The following is a 19,890-nucleotide window of genomic DNA, read 5'->3' as shown; positions in this document are numbered from 1 at the left end:
TTTTATTCAAAAGTAATTAAGAGTTTCTCTGATGTTTTGTTCTTTGTTTATTGCTGCTTCAAGTAAGTTCTTATCTGAAATTCTCTCTTTTCCACATGGTTTAAGCCTACAAATTTGGGTAGTTTTAAAAGAAATTAAGTATTTCTTATTATCAGGTTATATTATAAAGTATATAAATCACTACATCTTCAGTTTGGTTGAGAAGACAGGCTTTGCATTTATATCTAGGACATATTTATTCTAGTGGCATTAAGTAGACATGAACTGAGTACCTGTGAAAATGATTGAGTACTTGGTTTTAATTATTTATGTGGTCTTACTTATGTGCTATATTAGACTACAGTTTTCCTGTTAGAGAACTGATCTTCTCATATATGGTAGGTTGGGTTTATCTTCCCTATACCCGTCCCATAGTTTCAAACATCAAATAAAAGTTATCACCATTTCTAAGATTATGGATTTTATTGTAGTTTTTGGAAAGCAGCCCCAAGTACATGCTGGCAGCAGAAGTTTTTTGCCCTGGTGGGGCCTCATGAAAGAGAATTTTCATTTACTTCAAAAGACATCTTTAAAAAATCTCCAAATACAATGTACCTTAATGCATACAAGCTGGAAAGCAGGATGTAGAAGAAGCTGTGAAATCAATCACTAGCATAGTGCCCAGGTGTAGAAGGACTGGAACAACTGAGACTGTTACTGATGAATTGATTCAGATACTATACCAAGTAGATGCCTAGATGGTGCAATTCCAGGTTCCCAAATAATTCTCAGGTCAAGTGTCTTAGAGCCTAAAATTTACCCTTAGAGAAGACTTTTCCTCATTACATGGACCTGTTTCACAATTCCAAGAGATGGTTTAATTAGTCTCTAATTCTTTGGTTTATCAGAAGGATTTCTGCCCAGATAAGACCAACAAGGAGAAAGGTAGTGAAAGATGAAGAGCTGAAGAGAAGAAAGAGCCCCCTGAAAGTATGAGAAGACCATGCGGGGCTTGACAAGTTTCTCCCAGCCAGACTTTTAGGAGTTTCTGTCTCCTCCTCTTGTGTCACTTGACTCTGCTATTCTGTGTCCCCTGAACCAGATGGTCATTTACGAAAGGTTTTCTGAATTCCTAGACGAATTTTTCACAGATTGGTTAAGCTTCTGCTTCCTCTCTGGGCATGTGCAGGTTCTCGTTTTCATCTGGGTCACTTGGAAACTTTGAGGAACATTCTGTGCAGGAAAGCAGGTGTGATGATGATGATGGTGATGATGGTGATGATGATGCTTTTTGAATCACACCCTGTTTGATACAGAAAAACTTGGGGACACTCCACCCACGATGACATGACATTGAATGTAATACCATGGTCAATTGGCCTCCACCCTCATTTCAACTCTACTTCTTTGGTAGGGGCTGGGAAATGACTTCTTTCTGATCATTTGACACTTGGTCAGTTCATTTGTAAGTTTGTTGCCTAAACATCTAGTAAGTACAAAAGTTTTAAAATTTAAAATATTATTTTTCAATAGCCTTACAGTATTATACTTCTGCACTTTACAGCATTAAAATATTTGGACTCCATTTACCCTACTACAGTATAGTTTAGTTGTAAGTTTGCCCTGAGACCAGATAGAAAGTTATTGTCCACATGGGAGGTGGTGGAGACTTGGTGGTGGAGTCAGAGAGAAGTAGATAAATCTGAAAGTTATTTACAAGTTTAAAACCAACAGGATGCCAGGTGCAGTGGCTCATGCCTGTAATCCCAGCACCTTGGGAGGCCAAGGTGGGCAATTGCTTGAGCCCAGGAGTTTAAGACCAACCTGGGCCACATGGCGAAACTCCGTCTCTGCAAAAAAATACAAAACTTAGCTAGGTGTGGTGGTGCGCACCTGGAGTCCCAGCTACTTGGCAGGCTGAGGTGGGAGGATGGCTTGAGCCCAGGAGGCAGAGGTTGCAGTGAGCCGAGATTGCACCACTGCACTCCAGCCTGGGGGACAGAGCCAGACTCTGTACAAAAAAATTGTAATCTGATGTTTTCCTTAGAATTTAAACCCTTCCCTGGCATTTTCCTTCCTTTCTTCATTCCTTTCTTCCTCTCATTCCCTAGCACTCACTGCACCACAGGCACTTTCCTTAAGAAACTCCTAGTTGGGGTGGGGATGTTGGGAGTGAGTCTAACTGGTTTATTATGATTGATTGAATAGCGTAGAGGGCTGTTGAAGCAAAGCAGAGGTGACCCAACACCAACAATTCTCTCTTCCCTCTCACAAGTGTAACACTAACCTTTAATTTGTTATTTTCACCTAAAAGTCCCATTTCTCAAACACTATCATACCCTATACCAGGTGCTTCATTCCCCCCTTCACTCTCATCAAAAAATCTTCATGAATCGCTTGAGTGGTTTGTTACTATCTCAATCTGCCATTTCATTTCCTTGGCCACTTCCCCAGATGCTTTGGGGTCTTCTCCTGCTTCTTCTGCTCTCTTCTTAAGGAGCCTTAGTGACCACGCAGCAGAGGCTTCTATTATTCCATTCCCCTGGAGACCTCTTCAGTTCTAATGATCCTCTTTTTCATTGCTGCCTCTCACACCAACAGCCCCATCTTGGACTTTGCCATCTAGCAGGGGTGCTTCACCCTGCTGACTCCACCCTGATCACAGCTTCGTTACTCCCTTTTTCATTACATCACTCTTGGATCTCCCTGGGTTCTCCAGTTCCTTCCACTTCCCTGGATTTCAAATGGATTAATCCTCTTTTGATTTCATTTTCTTTCCTGGGCATACATAGACCTTATTTTGTAGCCATCTGGGGCATGTGTGTGTGTGTATGTGTGTGTGTGTGTAGGAATGTGTGCTACATTTAATTTGTTTTATATTACTTATTTTTATTGATAAGGAATGTATACACCTTAAAATGCACAAGTCTTAGATGTACAGCCTAAAGAAGTTTTACATATTTATCACCTGTGTAACCACTACCCAAATCAAGATCTAGAACATTTCCATTACTCCATGCAACTCTGTCTAGCTCATTTCCAGTCAATAACTGCCCTCCACATGTAACCACTGTCATAATTTCTAATAGCAGCTATTAGATTTTGCCTATTCTTGAGTTTCCTAAGAAGTGAGAAACCTCTGCTCCATAGAAATCAAGATGTGAAGAAATTACATGTTACTGCTCTTCACATGGTGGGAACTGGGCTTTGAAATGTGTTCATTAGCTACACTTGCATAGACATACATGGCTATTATAATAAAGGGGAGGAAATCCCTTTCCCCATGTCACTGAGATATTTGTCCTTTTCTCCGAGTTGTGAGTCCCTAGAGCCTCACCTCTATCCCTCTTGATATCTTGTGCCATTTAGCTCAATGTCTTGATGCTTATATCCTTCTTGCCTCCCCTTGCACCCACCCCCACCCCCACCTCCCTGCCATGCAGCTCCAGAAAAGGGAAATAGTCCTTCTGTGTCTTTCTCTGACTCTTCCCTTACTCACAGAGTAATGTAGCTGGGCCCAAGCAAAGACAACTATGCAAACAGCCACTGTGAAAACACCACCACATGGCTGTAGGGCAAGCATGCTCTACCTTGATTTGAGCACAGAAGGAAGCATAGTTTGCTGTAAGTTTTTACTTTGCATACTCCTTTAAGCCTTCCAGTACAATAATGTACAAGGTATTATTGGTCTAGTTTGTTCATACCTACGTTGTATGAAAGAGAAGAAACAATGTCAGGATCCAAAGGTGGAGCCAACCACATTTGTTGTTTGTTTCAAACTGTTTGTAGTTTCCAGATGACTTGCTTTTGTGTTCCCAGAAATCCATCCTGGGTCCTCTCTTCTCCCTCCCCTCACTCTCCCTGGGGAATTGCATCATCATCTCCTGTGGTTTCAGCCATTACTTTGTATTCTCCATGGGTGTGACTTCCGAATATGTTTATCTCAACCCAACCTTGGACTGAGACCTTGACCCTAGTCCACCCTTCCTTGATCTCCCCACTTGCATGTCCTCTAGGCATCTCCAAGTCAACAGGTCCCAAACTGGACTCAGACTCTGCTCACCCTCTGTAGTCTATGTATGGATGAGGCAATGTCTCTCCTCAGCCTTGCCAGTGAGTTCTGCCTAATTCTCCTTGATCTGTTCCTTTCCCGCCACTTGCATGGTCACTGCCCTAGTTTACACCCTCATAACCTGCCAGATCTTGCCTTAAATCCTTTCTGTTTATTCCCCTCCATCTATTCTGCTCCCATTGCTGGCAGTGGGGGTGGGGGTAAGAAGGGAGATCTTTCTGACACAAGATCTGTTCATATCAGTCTCTGAGTCATAATACTTCAGTGGGGTTGAGGGGTAGGGAAGACGTTGGTCAAAGGCTACAAAATTTCAGTTACGAGGAATAAGTTCAAGAAATCTCTTGTACAACATGGTGGCTATAGTCATTAACATAGGTTCTTAAAAATCTCTAAGAGAGTCGATTTTAAATGTTCTCCCCACAAAAATATGTGAGTTAATGCATATGTTAATTAGCTCAATTTAGCCATTCCACATTGTATACATATTTCAAAGCATCATGTTATACATAATAAATATATACAATTTTTGTCAATTAAGAAGAAATTAATTGAACAAAACAAAACAAAAACCTCAAATTGCTTCAGTGGTTCCCCATTTCAAGCTGTTAATCTGGCATGCAATCCTTTCATAATCTGGCCTCTGCCTACTTGATCAGACTTACCACCTGGCCACTGTGTCTTGAAACTTTGAGTGTTAGTAATGCTGAACTATCAGACATTCGTATGTCTGATACTAATACGTTGTATGCTATGCCCTTGTGCTACTGTTTACTTTTCCTGAAGTGCCCTCTTCCTATCTACCTGGGAAGAGTGGTACAGCCTCAATGCTACCTCCTTTGTGAGTCTTCCCTGCCTCCCTCTCCCTTAAGCATAGGCTCCTCAGTCCTACAGACACAAGGTAATGAATTCTGCAAACAACATGAGTGAGTTTAAAAGCAGCTCCACGGAGCAAGTGTCTTCCTGTACTGTAATTGCCTGCGTTCACTGTCTCTTTCTCAGCTATAAGTTCCCAGAGGTCAGAGTCTCTCATTTAGCTTTGAACAGAGAGATGCTCAGTATCCATTTGTTCAATGGAAGAATGAATAAATAGAAAGAATGTAGCATTGGGCTGGGTACTTCCCAAAAGTAGGACACCGTTTTTACCCTCTTTAGACTTATCTGTGGAAAGAATGATGAAAGCCAGCAAGGTAAGAGACCAGCAGTAAACAGCTACTCTTTGGGAATACTTGGCTCCATTGAATGTGTGGTAGGGTATGATTCCAGGAAACTACCTTCTCTTTCTGATTAATTGGTGGAGCTATGACAACTGGCGGGGCTGGGGCTTCAGGTACTGGGGCCAGGGTGTTAGTGAGGAAGACTGTTAATAGGGTGGGGATGGTTTTTCCAGGAATTTGGGTGTGTTTTTGGAAGACTCCTGTGCATGAGTAGAATGTTGCTAGGAAGGTGCTTATGGCAGATTTGCCCACGCAGTGACAAGTTGTCAGGAGAGGAGTGAGATAAGCAGTGCGATGGTGAGATAATTCAGGGCTCACTGACAGGCATAATCCACGTTGCTTGGGCTGAGTTCCCTTCAAGTGTGCTCAGATATTCCACCCTTGAGGATCACATCTCATTCATCTATCTTATCTTAAGGGCTGACCTATCGTAATTGTCAAATAACTGATTTCTTCTCCCAGCACCACTGAGACAGAAATTAAGTTAGGGGAAGCTGAATATGTGTACACACACACACACACACACACACACACACACACACAGTCACACACACACGATCATTCACAAGCTCATGGTATTTCAACTGAGAAGAAATGTAGGTCACAGTTTTTGAGACCATATTGGGAGAGGTCATTTGATATCATCTGTAAGGTTTTCATTATTCTCTTCTGGGGTAGAGGCAGATTAATGTGTAAGTGCACACACATCTTCAAACATACATGTGCTCAGCTATATAAAACACAAAGTTTGCAAATTTCCTGATGGCATTATTAGGTCCTTATAAAAGAAGTAATTGAGGGCCAGGCGCAGTGGCTCACGCCTGTAATCTCAGCACTTTGGGAGGCCGAGGCAGGCAGATCACTTGAGGTCAGTAGTTTGAGACTAGTCTGGCCAACATGGGAAAACGCCGTCTGTACTAAAAATACAAAAAATTAGCCAGACATCGTGGTGTGCGCCACGATGTAATCCCAGTTACTTGGGAGGCTGAGGCATGAGAATCACTTCAACTCAGGAGGCAGAGGTTGCAGTGAGCTGAGATTGTGCCATTGCACTCCAGCCTGGGCAACAGAGTGAAACTCCATCTAAAAAAAAAAAATAGTAACTGAGGACTAGACGGGTCAAATGACTTGCCTTTGATCACAGAATAATTTTGGACAACTTACTTAGACTTTATGAGCCTTCAATCAACTGCAGATTGAAAATAATTTGGAAAAAAAGCAATGGTTTCACCTGTACTGAACATATACAGACCTTTTAATCTTGTTATTATTCCCTAAAAATATAGTATAATGACTATTTACATAGCATTTACATAGTATTAGCTATTATAAGTAATATAGAGATGATTTAAAGTATATGGGAGGATATGTATAGGCTGTATGCAAATTCTATACAATTTTATATAAGGAGCTTGAGCATCCATGGATTTTGGCATCCGACAGGGTCCAGGAATCAAGCTCCCACAGATACCAAGGGACAACTGTACTGTGATTTATTTATTCACGTTCCTACTGATAGACACAGACTATTTCCTGTTTGTTTCTTCAAGTATTGATGTACTTCATTTATTATGTATTTATATATTATGTATTTATGTTTAGTGAATATTTCTTCATCCACTTTTATGAATATATCTTCAGAATAATTTTTAGCAGTAAAATTACTGGACTAAAAGTTATTTGCATTTAAAATTTTGATAGCATGATCAGTTTTCCCACAAAGACGTTACACCAATATGAAGAAATTTTCTTTTATAGCTGCCCACAAGTGGAATGGGGGAGATTTGGAGTAAAGGTGGCAGATTGAACATACCTTTCTAGTTCTTTCTCTCTCCCCAAACCACTCAAACTAAAATAAAGACTGTTTTTAAGTGGCACAGACCCACAAGGATAGGAGAATGAGACAGGAGCTCAAGCAAAAATATTTCGAAGGTAGCAAGTGATGGACAAATGGTAACCAACTTAACACATCTGGGCAAGGTGAATGTTAAGCTGGTAGTGGGAAACGTTGTGAAATCCTTGATTTTAACTTTGAATCTTTCAAAAACTTTGGAATTGGTGGCACCAGCTACGTATCTATGGATACAGAGTAAAGAGAAGTTGAGAAGTAGTTGGAGTGCTGGGCCTCTCCTTCCAACAATTCAGCGATGCTAGAACATTGCTCCATCCTCACTTTAACCTTAGCAGAAGCCTGGAGGTTTTTTTCTCTAGAAATGATAAAACATAGTCTTTGAACTGTGGATTCAAGCATAGGTGAAGGCAGTGGCCGAGGTATTGTTCCAAAACACCCTGAGCTCTTAGACTCTGTCATGCAGGACTCCAGTTTCCAAACAGAAGAACAGAAGAGCATACCCTTCCATATCTGACCAGCCCAAGAAGAAATACTTGATGTTTCTGAGGTTGGAGGTTCCCCCAGCAAACAGCTCAGCTAGATTAACCTTCCGTGGAGCCAAAATTGGACAGCCATATTCAAAGATCAGAGCTTCCAATCAGCTTTTTAATCCCTCTATTAAAGAGTAGACAATCAAGGAATAGCAGACCACTGAGAATAGCCTCAAATGAAAGATAAAGACCAAAACATTCAAATAAACAATGGGAGAAAGCTAACTCAGAGCGGGGAAAAAGGATTATGCAAGCAGAAGAAACCTTCAAGGAAAAAAATTATTAATATTTTTATAGATAGAAAATAAAATATTTTAACTGCAAAATGAAAATTGGATGCTAGAAAACATAATTAACAAAACAAAAATAAGCTCTTGGAAATTAATAATGACATCAAAAATGAATATTTCCATAGAATGGCTGGAAGGTAATGTTGAGGAAACATCTCAGAAATTAGAAGAGAAAGAAAAGAGACAGAAAACAGGGGAAAATAAGTAAGATAAAATAATTAGAGGATCAGTACAGGAAGTACAGTATTTGAATACGAGTATTCAAAAGAGGAAACAGAGAAAACTGAAAGGAGGAAATCATCAACAAAGTAATTCAAGCACATTTCCCAGAACTAGAAGACATGAGTTTCCTGACTGAAATTGGAAACTGAATGTGGTGCTGAATGCCGACCACAATGCAAGAAAATAGACCCACACCCAACATAGCATTGTGAAATTTCAGGACACTCAGGAAGATATTAAAATCTTCAAGGAGGCCAGGCGCGGTGGCTCATGCTTGTAGTCCCACCACTTTGGGAGGCTGAGGTGGGCGGATCACCCAAGGTCAGGAGTTTGAGACCAGCCTGACCAATATGATGAAACCCCGTCCCTACTAAAAATACAAAAATTAGCCGGGCGTGGTCGTGGGCGCCTGTAATCCCAGCTACTAGGGAGACTGAGACAGGAGAATCACTTGAACCTGGGAGGCAGATGTTGCAGTGAGCTGAGATCGCACCATTACACTCCAGCCTGGGCAACAAGAGTGAAACCTGGTCTCAAAAAAAAAAAAAAAAAAAAAAGCTTCAAGGAAGACAAGACAGGTCATATACAAAGAACCAGCTACCAGAATGACTCTAGACTTCTCAGTAGCAACAAGAGAAGCTGGAATACAATTTTGAATCAAGTTATGGTAGAATAAAGACATATCTAGCCTTGAAAAGATTCAAAAAGTTTACCTCCCACACAGCCTTTCTCAGGAAGCCACTCTGGCACCACTAAAACAATGGAGAAAACCAAAGGAGAAAAAGACTGGAGATACACAAAGTGGGAGAAGGGTAAAGGGAATCTCCAGAAATGGTAAAGGAAAATTCCCAGATGGTAACTCTGCACCAGGCTTGGAGGTAATCAGTTCACATTAGGATAGGCCCAGAGGCTCTGAGAGAGGCTTCTTCAAAGAGGTGAAATGGCTTGAATATCCGATGTGTCTGAATGTCTTGAGAGGAAATTCAGACATTTGGCAGAAAATTGAGGGTTTGAATTACTGATAAATACATGAAAAACTAAGTGAAAACAAAAAGTAAGGTTCTTCAATTAATTTCAGGGAAACACAAGAGTTGTATAGAAGAGGAGAAATAATTATGATTTACCCCATGACTCAGCTCTGAATAGTGTTTATGTAGTTATAATAATGTGAACACTAAATACTGATCTAACCCAAATCAGTACATAAACTATGTTGGAATAATAAGAACATGGAGAGGGTGTGTGTATTGTGTATGCGGAATGAAATAATGAAATCTTCATCCAACATTGTGGGTGGTTAGTGGAGAATACCTAACACGGAAAAATAAAGAAATAGCAATACAAGCATGTTATTTAGAAATACAGAGGTAAATCTTTCTAAAAGAATTACCAAAGAAAATTGAAAGTGGGTGCCTCTAGGGAAGGACTTCTGCTTTTCTTAATGAATCTTACAGATTTGACTCAACTATGTGCACAGGTAACTCTGATTAAAAAAGAAAAGAGTGTGCCATCTCTGGTGTATTCTTTGTCCCTGGGATGTTTGAGAAGACCTTTTAGGAGTGTGCTATAAAGGTGATCCAAGCATCCTGAGGGTGACTGGATGAAATTCCTTAGTTTCTTCCGAGCCTGGAGGTTGATGGGCTTATGATTTTCAGTAATGAAACTATTTCCAAAGCACTTGATGTCCTATGGAACTGTGGAAAATTTCTTCCTTAAACTGAAATATAGCCCCAACTAATCTCTACTGTTGATTCTGGTTTTACTACTTGGGTCATAAAAAACAAATCCAATCCCTGTTCTTTATCAGCCCTCTTCAAGCATGATTAGACTGTTTTCATCTAAAAACCATTCCTCACACCCACTGTTATGGTTTTTGATCTCCTCACATCCTGTTCAACTTCCTGTGATTACATTCCACTTCTGAAGTGTGTGTGTGTGTGTGTGTGTGTGTGTGTGTTCAAAACAGAACATAATATTCCAGTTGTGGCGTGACCACAGGACACCTCCTTCTTGATTATAAAGCTCATCAGTCAAGAGTAGAGACTTCAGAGTCAGCCAGCCTGGGTTTAGGCCTAGCTGTTTTTTGTTTGTTTTTGGTTTTTTTGGTGAGACAGAGTCTCGCTCTGTTGCCCAGGCTGGAGTGTTAGTGGCGTGTTCTCGGCTCACTGCAACCTCCACCTCCTGGGTTCAAGCAATTCTCCTGCCTCAGCCTCCTGAGTAGCTGGGATTACAGGCACCTACCACCACGCCCGGCTAATTTAGTAGAGATGAGGCATCACCATATTGCCCAGGCTGGTCTCAAACTCCTGAGCTCAGGCAATCCACCCACCTCGGCCTCCCAAAGTGCTGGGATTACAAGCATGAGCCACCGCACCTGGCCTAGACCCAGCTTTGATACTTCCTGGCTGTGTGACTTGGAATGAGTTATACAACCTCATTGTCCTTCAGTTTCTTTGTTGATAAAACAGGAACAATGTCAGTATCTTCCTCGTGAGATTGTTTTGAGGATTTAGCAATATGATAAATGCCCAGCACTTAGAACAGAGGATGTCAAATAGTAGATGTTTAAAGAGTGTTAGCTATTAATTTTTTTCCTAGAATTTTCTATCAGTGTAGCTCAAGAAACCTATGAATATTTTTGACTGCTTGTTTCAATTAATCAATAAAGCAATCAATTAAACAGCAAACATTTGTTGAGTGCCTCTCTGTGCCAGATGCTGAGAAGAAGGGGAATAAGACCCCTTATCTGGAGGAGTTGATAAGTTGAGTTAGTTAAGAACTAACATCCTTTATATTTGTTTTATTGTCTCTTTTTGAAAAAAAAAAAACATTTTAATCAAAGGTATACATGCACATCATTTAAAAAGGCATGGTGCTTCATGTCTGTTATTCCAGTGACTCTGGAGGCTAAGGTGGGAGGATTGCTTGAGGCCAGGAGTTTGTGACCAACCTGGGCAACATAGTGAGATCTCATCCCTAAAAATAAAAAATATATTAGCTGGGCTTGGTGGCTCATGCCTGCAGTCCTAGCTACTTGGGAGGCTGAGGCAAAAGGATTGCTTGAGCCGAGGAGTTCAAGGCTGCAGTGAGCTGTGATCACTCCACTGTACTTCAGCCTGGGCAACACAGTGAGACTTTGTCTCTAAAAGAATTTTTTTTTTTTAATTTTAGTTTTTGAAAAAGTTAAGCCAGGCATAGTGGCTCATGCCTGTAACCCCAACACTTCGGGAGGCTGAGGCAGGAGACTTGTTTGAGCCCAGGAGTTTGAGACCAGCCTGGGCAAGATGGCAAGACCCTGTTTCTATAAAAATAATAAATAAATAAATAAAAATAAAAGTATTGTTAAATAGTATTAAAGAAATTACAATGGTTCCCTGTATCACTCTTCACACTCTTTCGTTGCTTCTTCCTAGAGGCAACTACTTTTGATTCTTTTAGCCATTTCTTCTTGCATATACATCTCAGTACTTCTAAATGATATGCCTAGATATACTGTTTGCAATGGTGACTTTTAGACATAATCATCTGTTATGATAGATGAACATCCAACTCTTATACTATCCTTCCTTATTGTTCCCATGCCCCACCCTCCCAAGATAATACAATTTTTGATTAAACTTCTGTATTTACCTAACTTTTTATGCAAATACAATTTCCAGTTGAGCACTGTGAACTATGGTTGCCTTTTCTAGTTTTTCCTGAAATTGTTGCCTTTTTTCCTATTTGCCTAATTTTCTTTGTACCTCTTCTAGCAGACGCACCTTCTAATAGACACCAACATTGGATGGTTTATCACTTTCTTTTTTTCTCTTAGGATAGCCCACTCCCCACCCCACCCCCGATCCCTTTCCTCTTCTGAGTTGAATGCTCTCCAGGCTGTTGCAGAGCTGTCATCTATCTTGAGTCTTTCCTTCACTGTGGACCTTGGAATTCTCTAGATTTTTCTCCCAAGTTGGATTCCTCATCTCTTCTTTTTTGGTTTACTCTCTTATTTTGGGGGAGAACATCCTCCAGTAATCAGGTTAAAAAGGATCTTCCCTTAGTCCCCAGTGTTGTGAAATTTCACAATAATCTGCCTGGATTATTCTGGGCCCTCAGTGGCCCCTTCAGGAAATCTGGAAACTTAAGTCTTTCACTTCTGAGAAATTTGCTTGAATAATTTTACTGACGATTTCCTCTCGTTGGCTTTCTTCTCCCTTGTTTGGAAACTCTTGTTAATCAGATATTCAGACCCCTGGATTGGTTCTCTAATATCTTCATTTTCTTGTTTTTGTTTTCCCCTCTGTCATTTTACTCACCTTTCTAGAATGCCTCAATTCTATTTTCTGGTCCTAGGTTCCTTTTTATAGTTTCCTACTCTTGTTTCAAAGGTATGTCATTGTCTCTTATTTCCCTGAGGGTATTCATGATACTTTTAAAGTTTTAGTCACTGTGTATTTTATTTCCTCCGAATTGCTTTTATCTATTTGTTTTGTTCTCCAGTTTTCTTGCCCTGGGCTTTCCTTAGACATCTGGCACCCTTGGATGTTTGTTCAGGATTAGAGGACTAAAAAGTGGATTGGATGCTCTCAACTTGCAGGCAAGGCTTGTTGACTTTGAGCTTCACTGTAGGGTGAGCTGGAAGCACTGTTTGTTTTAGGAAACTTTTTTGCTTCAGTATTTTCTGACCTTTTTTCATGGACTGGTCAGATTCCTCAGAAAGAAACCTTTCTAATCTCCTGCCAAGGTTACAAGTATGCTGTCACTGTTCTGATGGCCAATTGGGGAAACAGAGCTGGGGAAGAAGGGCTGCGGGTCTCACCATTTTATGGTTTGTGTTACTGTTCTCAAATCAACCGCTGTGCCAATTGACCTCCGGTCAGGAAGGATTCCTTCAAAGAATAAACCTGCCATCTTGTATGGGGGAGGGGAAGAGGACATACTCAGTGATGTGGAGCAGAGAGGGGAATGAAGGCTCTGATTGCTTCTCACACAGCTTTTACCCAGCCCATCCTAGATTGGTTTCTTTCACCGTAACCTTCAGTTTCAGAAGCACTATCTGAAACTGCCAGTTCCTGAGCCTGTTGAGGACTCTGCATTGTAAATTTTGTTGGTTTTCTGGTTTTGCCACTGTTGGCTGAGACCTCGACATTCTATGATGTGCTAAATTATGTCAGCCCTAACTACATTTGAGCTGCATTGTGTATCAGGATTATATTTCTCTCTCTTTCTCTCATTCTGTTTTCTTTATTCTCTCCTTCTGGGTATTGGCCTTCCTGGATGGATCCTGTTTTTAAAAAAATCTTCTTTCCCTTTTCAATCTCTTTGTCTCTATCTTATACTTCCTGTGAGATTTCCTCAAGTTTATTATTTAACCCTTTCATTGAGCTTTTAATCTCTGCTATCACATTTAGAATTCCCAAGAGCTCTCTTTTTAAAAATGATGTCTTGTTTCATGAATATATCTTCTATCTCTCTGAGGACATTAATATTACCTGAAAACATTTTTTTATCTCCTTGTTTATTTCTTCTGAATTTCTTATTTCTGTTAGTTTCCTTCAAGAGAGTTGCTTTTCACAAATATCTTGGCCACTTATTTATTTTTGTTTTTTAGTTATTTTTTACAGATGGGAGTCTCACTTTGTTGCCCAGGCTGGACTCAAACTCCTGGGCTCAAGGAATGTTCCCACCTCAGCCTCCCTAGTAGCTGGGATTACCAGCTTGTGCCACCCCACCCAGCACTGGTCACTTATTTTTAAGGGAGAGGCACTAAAATGTTGATTGGAAGCCTTATTTAGGGGGATTTCATTAGCTGCTGGGCTTCTCTGAAGGGTGATCTGGCAGGTCTCCCATTTTTTTCCATTGGAAGAACTTTAAATGTGCAAAGGCAGGTTTCCCTTTGATATTTAGTTTCCCCTGAGGGGAGTTGTCTAATCTCTTGCCTAAAGGACAGAAACTTGCCTTCCAAGCATTCTGAAGCTGAGCCTCCAAAAGGTTGACAACATGGGCAATATTGGTGTGGATGTGTGTGGACATGTTTCCTCATTCCAGTTTGACCCTATCCCCTAATCCTGTTTTTTGCTGGTATTGCACTCTGCCCACTCTGGTGGCTGGAGTCCTACAGGCAGACTGCCTTGGCTGCTTAGTGTTATTTTTTCTTAAAATTTGTTTTTGTAATGTCCTTTAAGTAGGTTTGGAGGAAATAAACACACATCTTTAACTCTTCAAGTAAAACTAGAAGTCTTGCTTTTATAATGATTCATATCTGCTTGGCCAAATCATGCCTTTCTGAACTTGGGTAATTGTTTACATGGAGCTTCACTTCCCTGCATCTTTTTCATCAGACAAAGCATACTGGAATTTTGATTCTCTCATTTAATATACAAATAAGAGTATTTTGGTGCTGGCTTTCAAGAAGTTGGGCTAGGCTTCCTCAGGATTCTGGAATGTGGGTCAATATATCAACTTCTGCAGGACAGCTGTGGGCAAGAGAAAGAAGGCTGATACATGGAGCAAGTGCACTTGCTGTGTGTGTGAGGGTGAGAGAGGGACATGGATGTGATGCGACCCGAACTGACTTGTATGCTGAAATAACAGCATGCACTCATCCTCAACATGGCACCCCTGCTCTGCTTGGGCACCTCTGGGAAGCTGCACTGATGCCCTTGAGTCACGCTTTGCTCTGCATTTGCATATCCAGATTGCCAGGTCCTCTCCTCCCGAGCAGAGTTTCTTGAGAAAGCCCAGGTGGTGCAGCATGGCCTTTTTGAAGGCTTGCCTGCAACTCCTGCTCCAACAAGAGGTCATAGCCTAATTAAGATAGTGTGGCCAGTGGTAAATCTCAATTCTAACTGGTGAGAACCATTGTTATTACGTTTGAGTGGGAATATAATTTTATTAAAAGCTTAAAAACAAACAAAACTCAAAGAATGAATGATTTCCAAGTTGTATTTAGAAAATTTAGAACTTAATGAATGGTTGCCTTGGAAGTCTTTCGTACCTAGCCACTAAGCAAGAAATACCCATAAAACAGTACTTTGCCAGCTTATCCTAAATTACATCATGATTTTGAAAGTAATAAAAATATTTTTAAAAACTTCTATAAATTACTTAAAGTATAAAGGGGGCTGCTTCCCCAAAGGCTTGGGCAGGGCAGCTCGTCTGCAGATGGGCCCAGGGGTGTAGCAGCACTTCTTATGGAAAAAAAAAAAAGTATAAAGTGGGTTTTCATGAATTCAGACTGGCTGTCATCCTATTAGTTCAAAATGACCCATATTTTCAAGCAGATTGTAAGGTTTTCTTTTGAATTATCTAAGGACACTTTAATGGAACATGAGGAATTTGCTTGCTGTTCTAATCTGGAGCCCAGGAAGCTGGTTTGATGTCAGGGCCAAGCTGTGGAATGGGGTGGGATAGTGCTCTGGTTAAGGTTGGCATTCAGTCCTCAGCTGTCTGTCCTATCCATGTGTTTGCCAGTCTCCATCTACAGGGCAGGAGGGAAGGGGAAGCCAACTTGTTCTGGCCTTGGGTGTATTAGAAAACATCTGCTAAGAGAAGCGTTTTTAATTAGGAGTAGAATACCCCTGCTAACCAGAAGTGGTGTAGATGGAATGTGGAATTTTTATAACAATTCTTAAGAAGTTCTTAAGCTAATATACTTCACCTTCATGATTATTCATAAGCACATTATGAATTATTATTAACTTTGTAAATGTTCAATGGATTTTTTATTTGTGACAATGACATTTATAGAATTTATTTTCCATGCCTTATATGTATTGTGGTTTAGACTTAAGGTAGTTATAAAATCCTTAATTGTATTGCAAAATTCAACTATGACATCATCATTTGCTAATTCATGTTTCCTAAACATGGGAATGAAATTTACTCCCAATAATACTATTGCAATTTTTTAATGTCCTTAGAACCTTAACCTTTTAAATAAAGGGTAAAAATAACACCAGAATGCCTGTTAATATGTAATTTTCTTCTTAGACAAAAACTTTAATAGAACCTTTAATTTCTATCATGGTGAGGACAGAGTTCCTTTATGGAAGTATTGGTAAAATGTTAAGATGTAAAAAATTGAGCCCTGCTTCTAAGCAACTGAAATGAAATGAGTTGGGATTCCGGTGGCAACATCCGGGATTCCAGGTGTTAAGGCATAACACAGCTGGAAGCTCATCTTTCAGAGGTTGCTAGTTGAGGAGTCTTAGTGGAGCCGAAGAAGGGAAGTAAAGCAGCAAGGATCCTGTGGCATGTGAAATGCTGTGTTACTTATCTTTCTTTTTGTAACCATTTATCGTGGAAAATTTCCAGCATGAAGTTACACAAAAGTAGAGAGATTCATATAATGAACCACCGTTGTAAAAACTTATTTTTAACCTAACACCTTCAACCTGGTATGGGAAAAAACAAAGTTCCAAGTATAAGTCCTTTTAAACATGGTAGTACTTAAACACCACAGCCAGGTCATATTTCTTTGCTGTTTTGTCCACTCCTCCTCCAACAAATACCAGCATAATACAAATGTGATTTTTTTTTTTTTTTAACAATAACGAGCTTTCTAAATTTTGACAGCGGTATATTTCTTTGGAGACACATTGATTTGATAGGGCTCAGGGCAAGCTCATGGGAATGAACCTGGGCATCTGACCTGAGAGGTCTGCTGTCTTAAGTCAGGTATGCATGGAGTTCATGACAGAAGAAGCAGGTGCTAAAAAGGCACAGTCACATGTCCACAGTGGCCTGGGGAAACCTAGCAGACAAGGGACACACTTGACTCATGGGCTTAAAAGACGCCAATGTTCTATGGTCCCTGAGAGCTGGTGGAGGTGAAGATGGAAGCTTTGTGCGCTGTGGGCCCCATCAACTCCACTCGCCTTTTGGGCCCTTAATGACAGCTGTTGCAGGTGAGCACTCCAGGGAGCAAGGCTGCACATTCCTTTTCAGAGGAATGTTACTATTTAATCTATTGCATGGAAAGCCCTAAAACCCCCTAGGGCCTTCCAAAAATAGATGGAGTTAGTCACTAGTGACATTTACAGGGGTTTTTGTTTTTCCCTCCTTCTCCCCTTCTCAGGAATAGCAAAAGTTTTTCTTCTTTCTACGTAGTGAACTTATCTCCCTTGAGTATTTTTTTACCATGAAAGAAAGACACAGTTGAAGTCTATATGGTATTTACTGGATTTTATTGCAAAAAAACACACAAAAAACCGAAAACCACCACACATACACACACCCAGAACGCAAAACCAAACCCAAAAAATGAAAATTCTGTAGCCCATATGAGATGTTTCAATGATGTTGACAATGGAGAGGGCTGAAATGGAAGCTATTAACTAGAAAAAATGGGGGTGAATGTGAAAAGCTGAAAGGAATGGCTCCTCTGAAGTAGAAAAAGTCTGAGATTTCTCCGCCCTTCATTTGGATAATGAGTGCTTTCCAACCAGTAGGAACCCTGGAAATGTTTGTGTAAGTGCTGCAGGAGTCTCTTCTCATCACAGTGGTAGGTGTCCAGGACTCATAACTGCTTTATAGGATTGAATGTCATCACATGTGCCTGGCAATAGGATGTGCTAATTGAGAAAGAAATCCAATGAGGGTAGCGTGCCAGTAACCAAGGGGGAGGCCGGACCGCTTATTCATTGGTCTGTCCTTTCGTTTATTCAATCATTCATTTTTTCATCCATCCATCCATCCATCCATCCATCCATCCATCCATCCATCCATGCATTCATTACTTCCTTCTTTCCCACTGCAGGGCTGTGGACTGGCTTTCTTGACTATTCCTCTTCTTCCTTCAGGTCTCACTTCCTCAGGGAAGCCTCCCCTACCCCCTCCACCTCCACTTAACAGGTGGATCACCTCCTTAGAGAACTGTAAGCCATGGTAAATAATAGACACACTCAGTAAATATTTGTTGAATGAGTGATCAAGCTAATCCATTCAGACATGCATTTTTCCTTTGTCTCTTCACTAAGCAAGAATTTACTAACAATAGCTCTAGGCAGGTAGGCCAGGGCTGGCCTGAGAACAGCACTTTGCAACTGAGAACTCAAAACAACTCAGGCCCCACCTTCTTCAAAATCCAAGGTTGCTGAGGGTGAGGTGGATTTCAGCCTGTGTCTAGGGGTGGAAGTTCATGGAACTAACCAGAAAAGGATAGAGAGATAGGAAACAGTGGAAACTCTGTTTACATTTCTGCCAAGCTCATGTGACTCAGAATTTGAGGTATATCGTTTTCCTTGTAAGGAAGCTGCAGCCAAGAGAGATTAGGTGACTTATTCTGAAGTCACGGAACTGATGAACTTGGTTCCCTGAGATTTCTTAGAACTGATTAAAAGTAGTTGCAGCCTGAACTGTGGGAACTTGCAGTATGTTTTGGTGCTTTGAATTTGAAGGGGACAATTTATTTCCAGAGATATGAAAGGACCCAGAGTGTGGATCCCAGAGGAAACATCTGGAAGAGAAAGAAAGGGAATCCCTCAGAGTCACAGGGCTTTTCTACCCTACCGCAGTGGCAGAAGAGCAAGTGCCAGCAACCCCATCAAGAAAACATTCTGAGGGGTTGGTGCGGTGGCTCACGCCTCTAATCCCAGCACGTTGGGAGGGCGAGACCAGCATGGCCAACATGGTGAAACCCGTCTCTACTAAAAATACCAAAATTAGCCAGATGTGGTGGCATGTGGCTGTAATCCCGGCTACTCGGGAGGCTGAAGCAGAAGAATCACTTGAACCTGGGAGGCGGAAGTTGCCGTGAGCTGAGAACGTGCCACTGCACTCCAGCCTGGATGACAGAGCGAGACTCTGTCTCAAAAAAAGAGAAAACATTCTGGGAAGGGGCTGTTCCTTTAGCAGTTGATTTAACCGCTGCTGAGCTTTAACAAAAAAATCAAGCTTTTCTCGTGGCACTGTATAAACTTCCATATGGTTGTCAATGTTCCACTTAACTCACCTGTTCTATTTATAGGCCATCAATTGTGTATTTTCAAAATAACTGCACCTCAAATTTTCAGGCTTTTAGTGGGTACAAAGCCCTTTCATACACATGGGGCTCACTTGGCTCCATGTGAACAAATTGAGGCTTAGAGACATTGGCAGTTTGCCCAAGAATCAACCCACAGGCTAGTGGAGGAGCATGAGCTTGGGCCCTTGTCCCTGACTCAGCTCCTATACTTTGTCCTGTGTGCCACAGGGGAAAGGAAATGTTTCTCCTGCAGGATGGAGATTAAGGTTTTGAAAACTCTCAAATTTCATTCTTTCCAGTTTTATCGAGGTAAATTGACAAATAAAAATTTGGTATATCAAAGTGATGACTTTATATATACACACACACACATATATACACACATATATACACATACACAGAGTAATGATTACCACAGTCAAGTTAACACATCCATCATATCACATAACTACCATTGTGTGTATGTGAACACTTAAGATCTACTCTCAGGAAATTTCAAGTAAACAATACAATATTATTATTTATAGTCACTATGCTATATGTTAGACTCCCAGAACTTACTCATTTTATTACTGAAAATTTTTACCCTTTGACCAACATGGAATTCCATTTTTCTACTCAATCCACGTATCATCCTTCTCAGAGGCATGCTTTACTTCCCTGAAACTTCTCACCACAGACTGGAGCAAAAGGTGACAGAGGTGAGCGGCAATCTATAAGGATAATGGCAGTGAGCCATTCTCCAGCATCCACTCTGTGGCAGACACCAAGTGCTTCATATAC

At 40.8% G+C, this 19,890-nt stretch overlaps 4 annotated features.

Annotated features, from left to right (window-relative positions):
- Nucleotides 3,735-4,347: a transcriptional cis regulatory region, noted in NCBI's record as "candidate enhancer chr7.1155 targeted for multiplex CRISPR interference". NCBI's record gives its function as "positively regulates IL6 gene expression with high confidence in K562 cells {active_cell/tissue: K562}" and the evidence as "EXISTENCE:mutant phenotype evidence [ECO:0000015][PMID:30612741]".
- Nucleotides 5,248-5,645: a transcriptional cis regulatory region, noted in NCBI's record as "candidate enhancer chr7.1154 targeted for multiplex CRISPR interference". NCBI's record gives its function as "positively regulates IL6 and STEAP1B gene expression with high confidence in K562 cells {active_cell/tissue: K562}" and the evidence as "EXISTENCE:mutant phenotype evidence [ECO:0000015][PMID:30612741]".
- Nucleotides 8,185-8,479: a silencer, noted in NCBI's record as "tiled region #4516; HepG2 Repressive non-DNase unmatched - State 22:ReprW". NCBI's record gives its function as "represses a minimal TATA promoter and a strong SV40 promoter by Sharpr-MPRA in HepG2 cells {active_cell/tissue: HepG2}" and the evidence as "EXISTENCE:reporter gene assay evidence [ECO:0000049][PMID:27701403]".
- Nucleotides 16,767-17,395: an enhancer, noted in NCBI's record as "NANOG-H3K27ac-H3K4me1 hESC enhancer chr7:22708433-22709061 (GRCh37/hg19 assembly coordinates)". NCBI's record gives its function as "activates a minimal SCP1, AML or CMV promoter by ChIP-STARR-seq in naive H9 embryonic stem cells {active_cell/tissue: H9 hESC(naive)}" and the evidence as "EXISTENCE:reporter gene assay evidence [ECO:0000049][PMID:30033119]".

This window comes from Homo sapiens, chromosome 7, assembly GCF_000001405.40.
Source record: "Homo sapiens chromosome 7, GRCh38.p14 Primary Assembly".
In the NCBI taxonomy this organism is placed as follows: Eukaryota; Metazoa; Chordata; class Mammalia; order Primates; family Hominidae; genus Homo; species Homo sapiens.
This window is presented reverse-complemented; position numbering and strand designations above follow the sequence as displayed.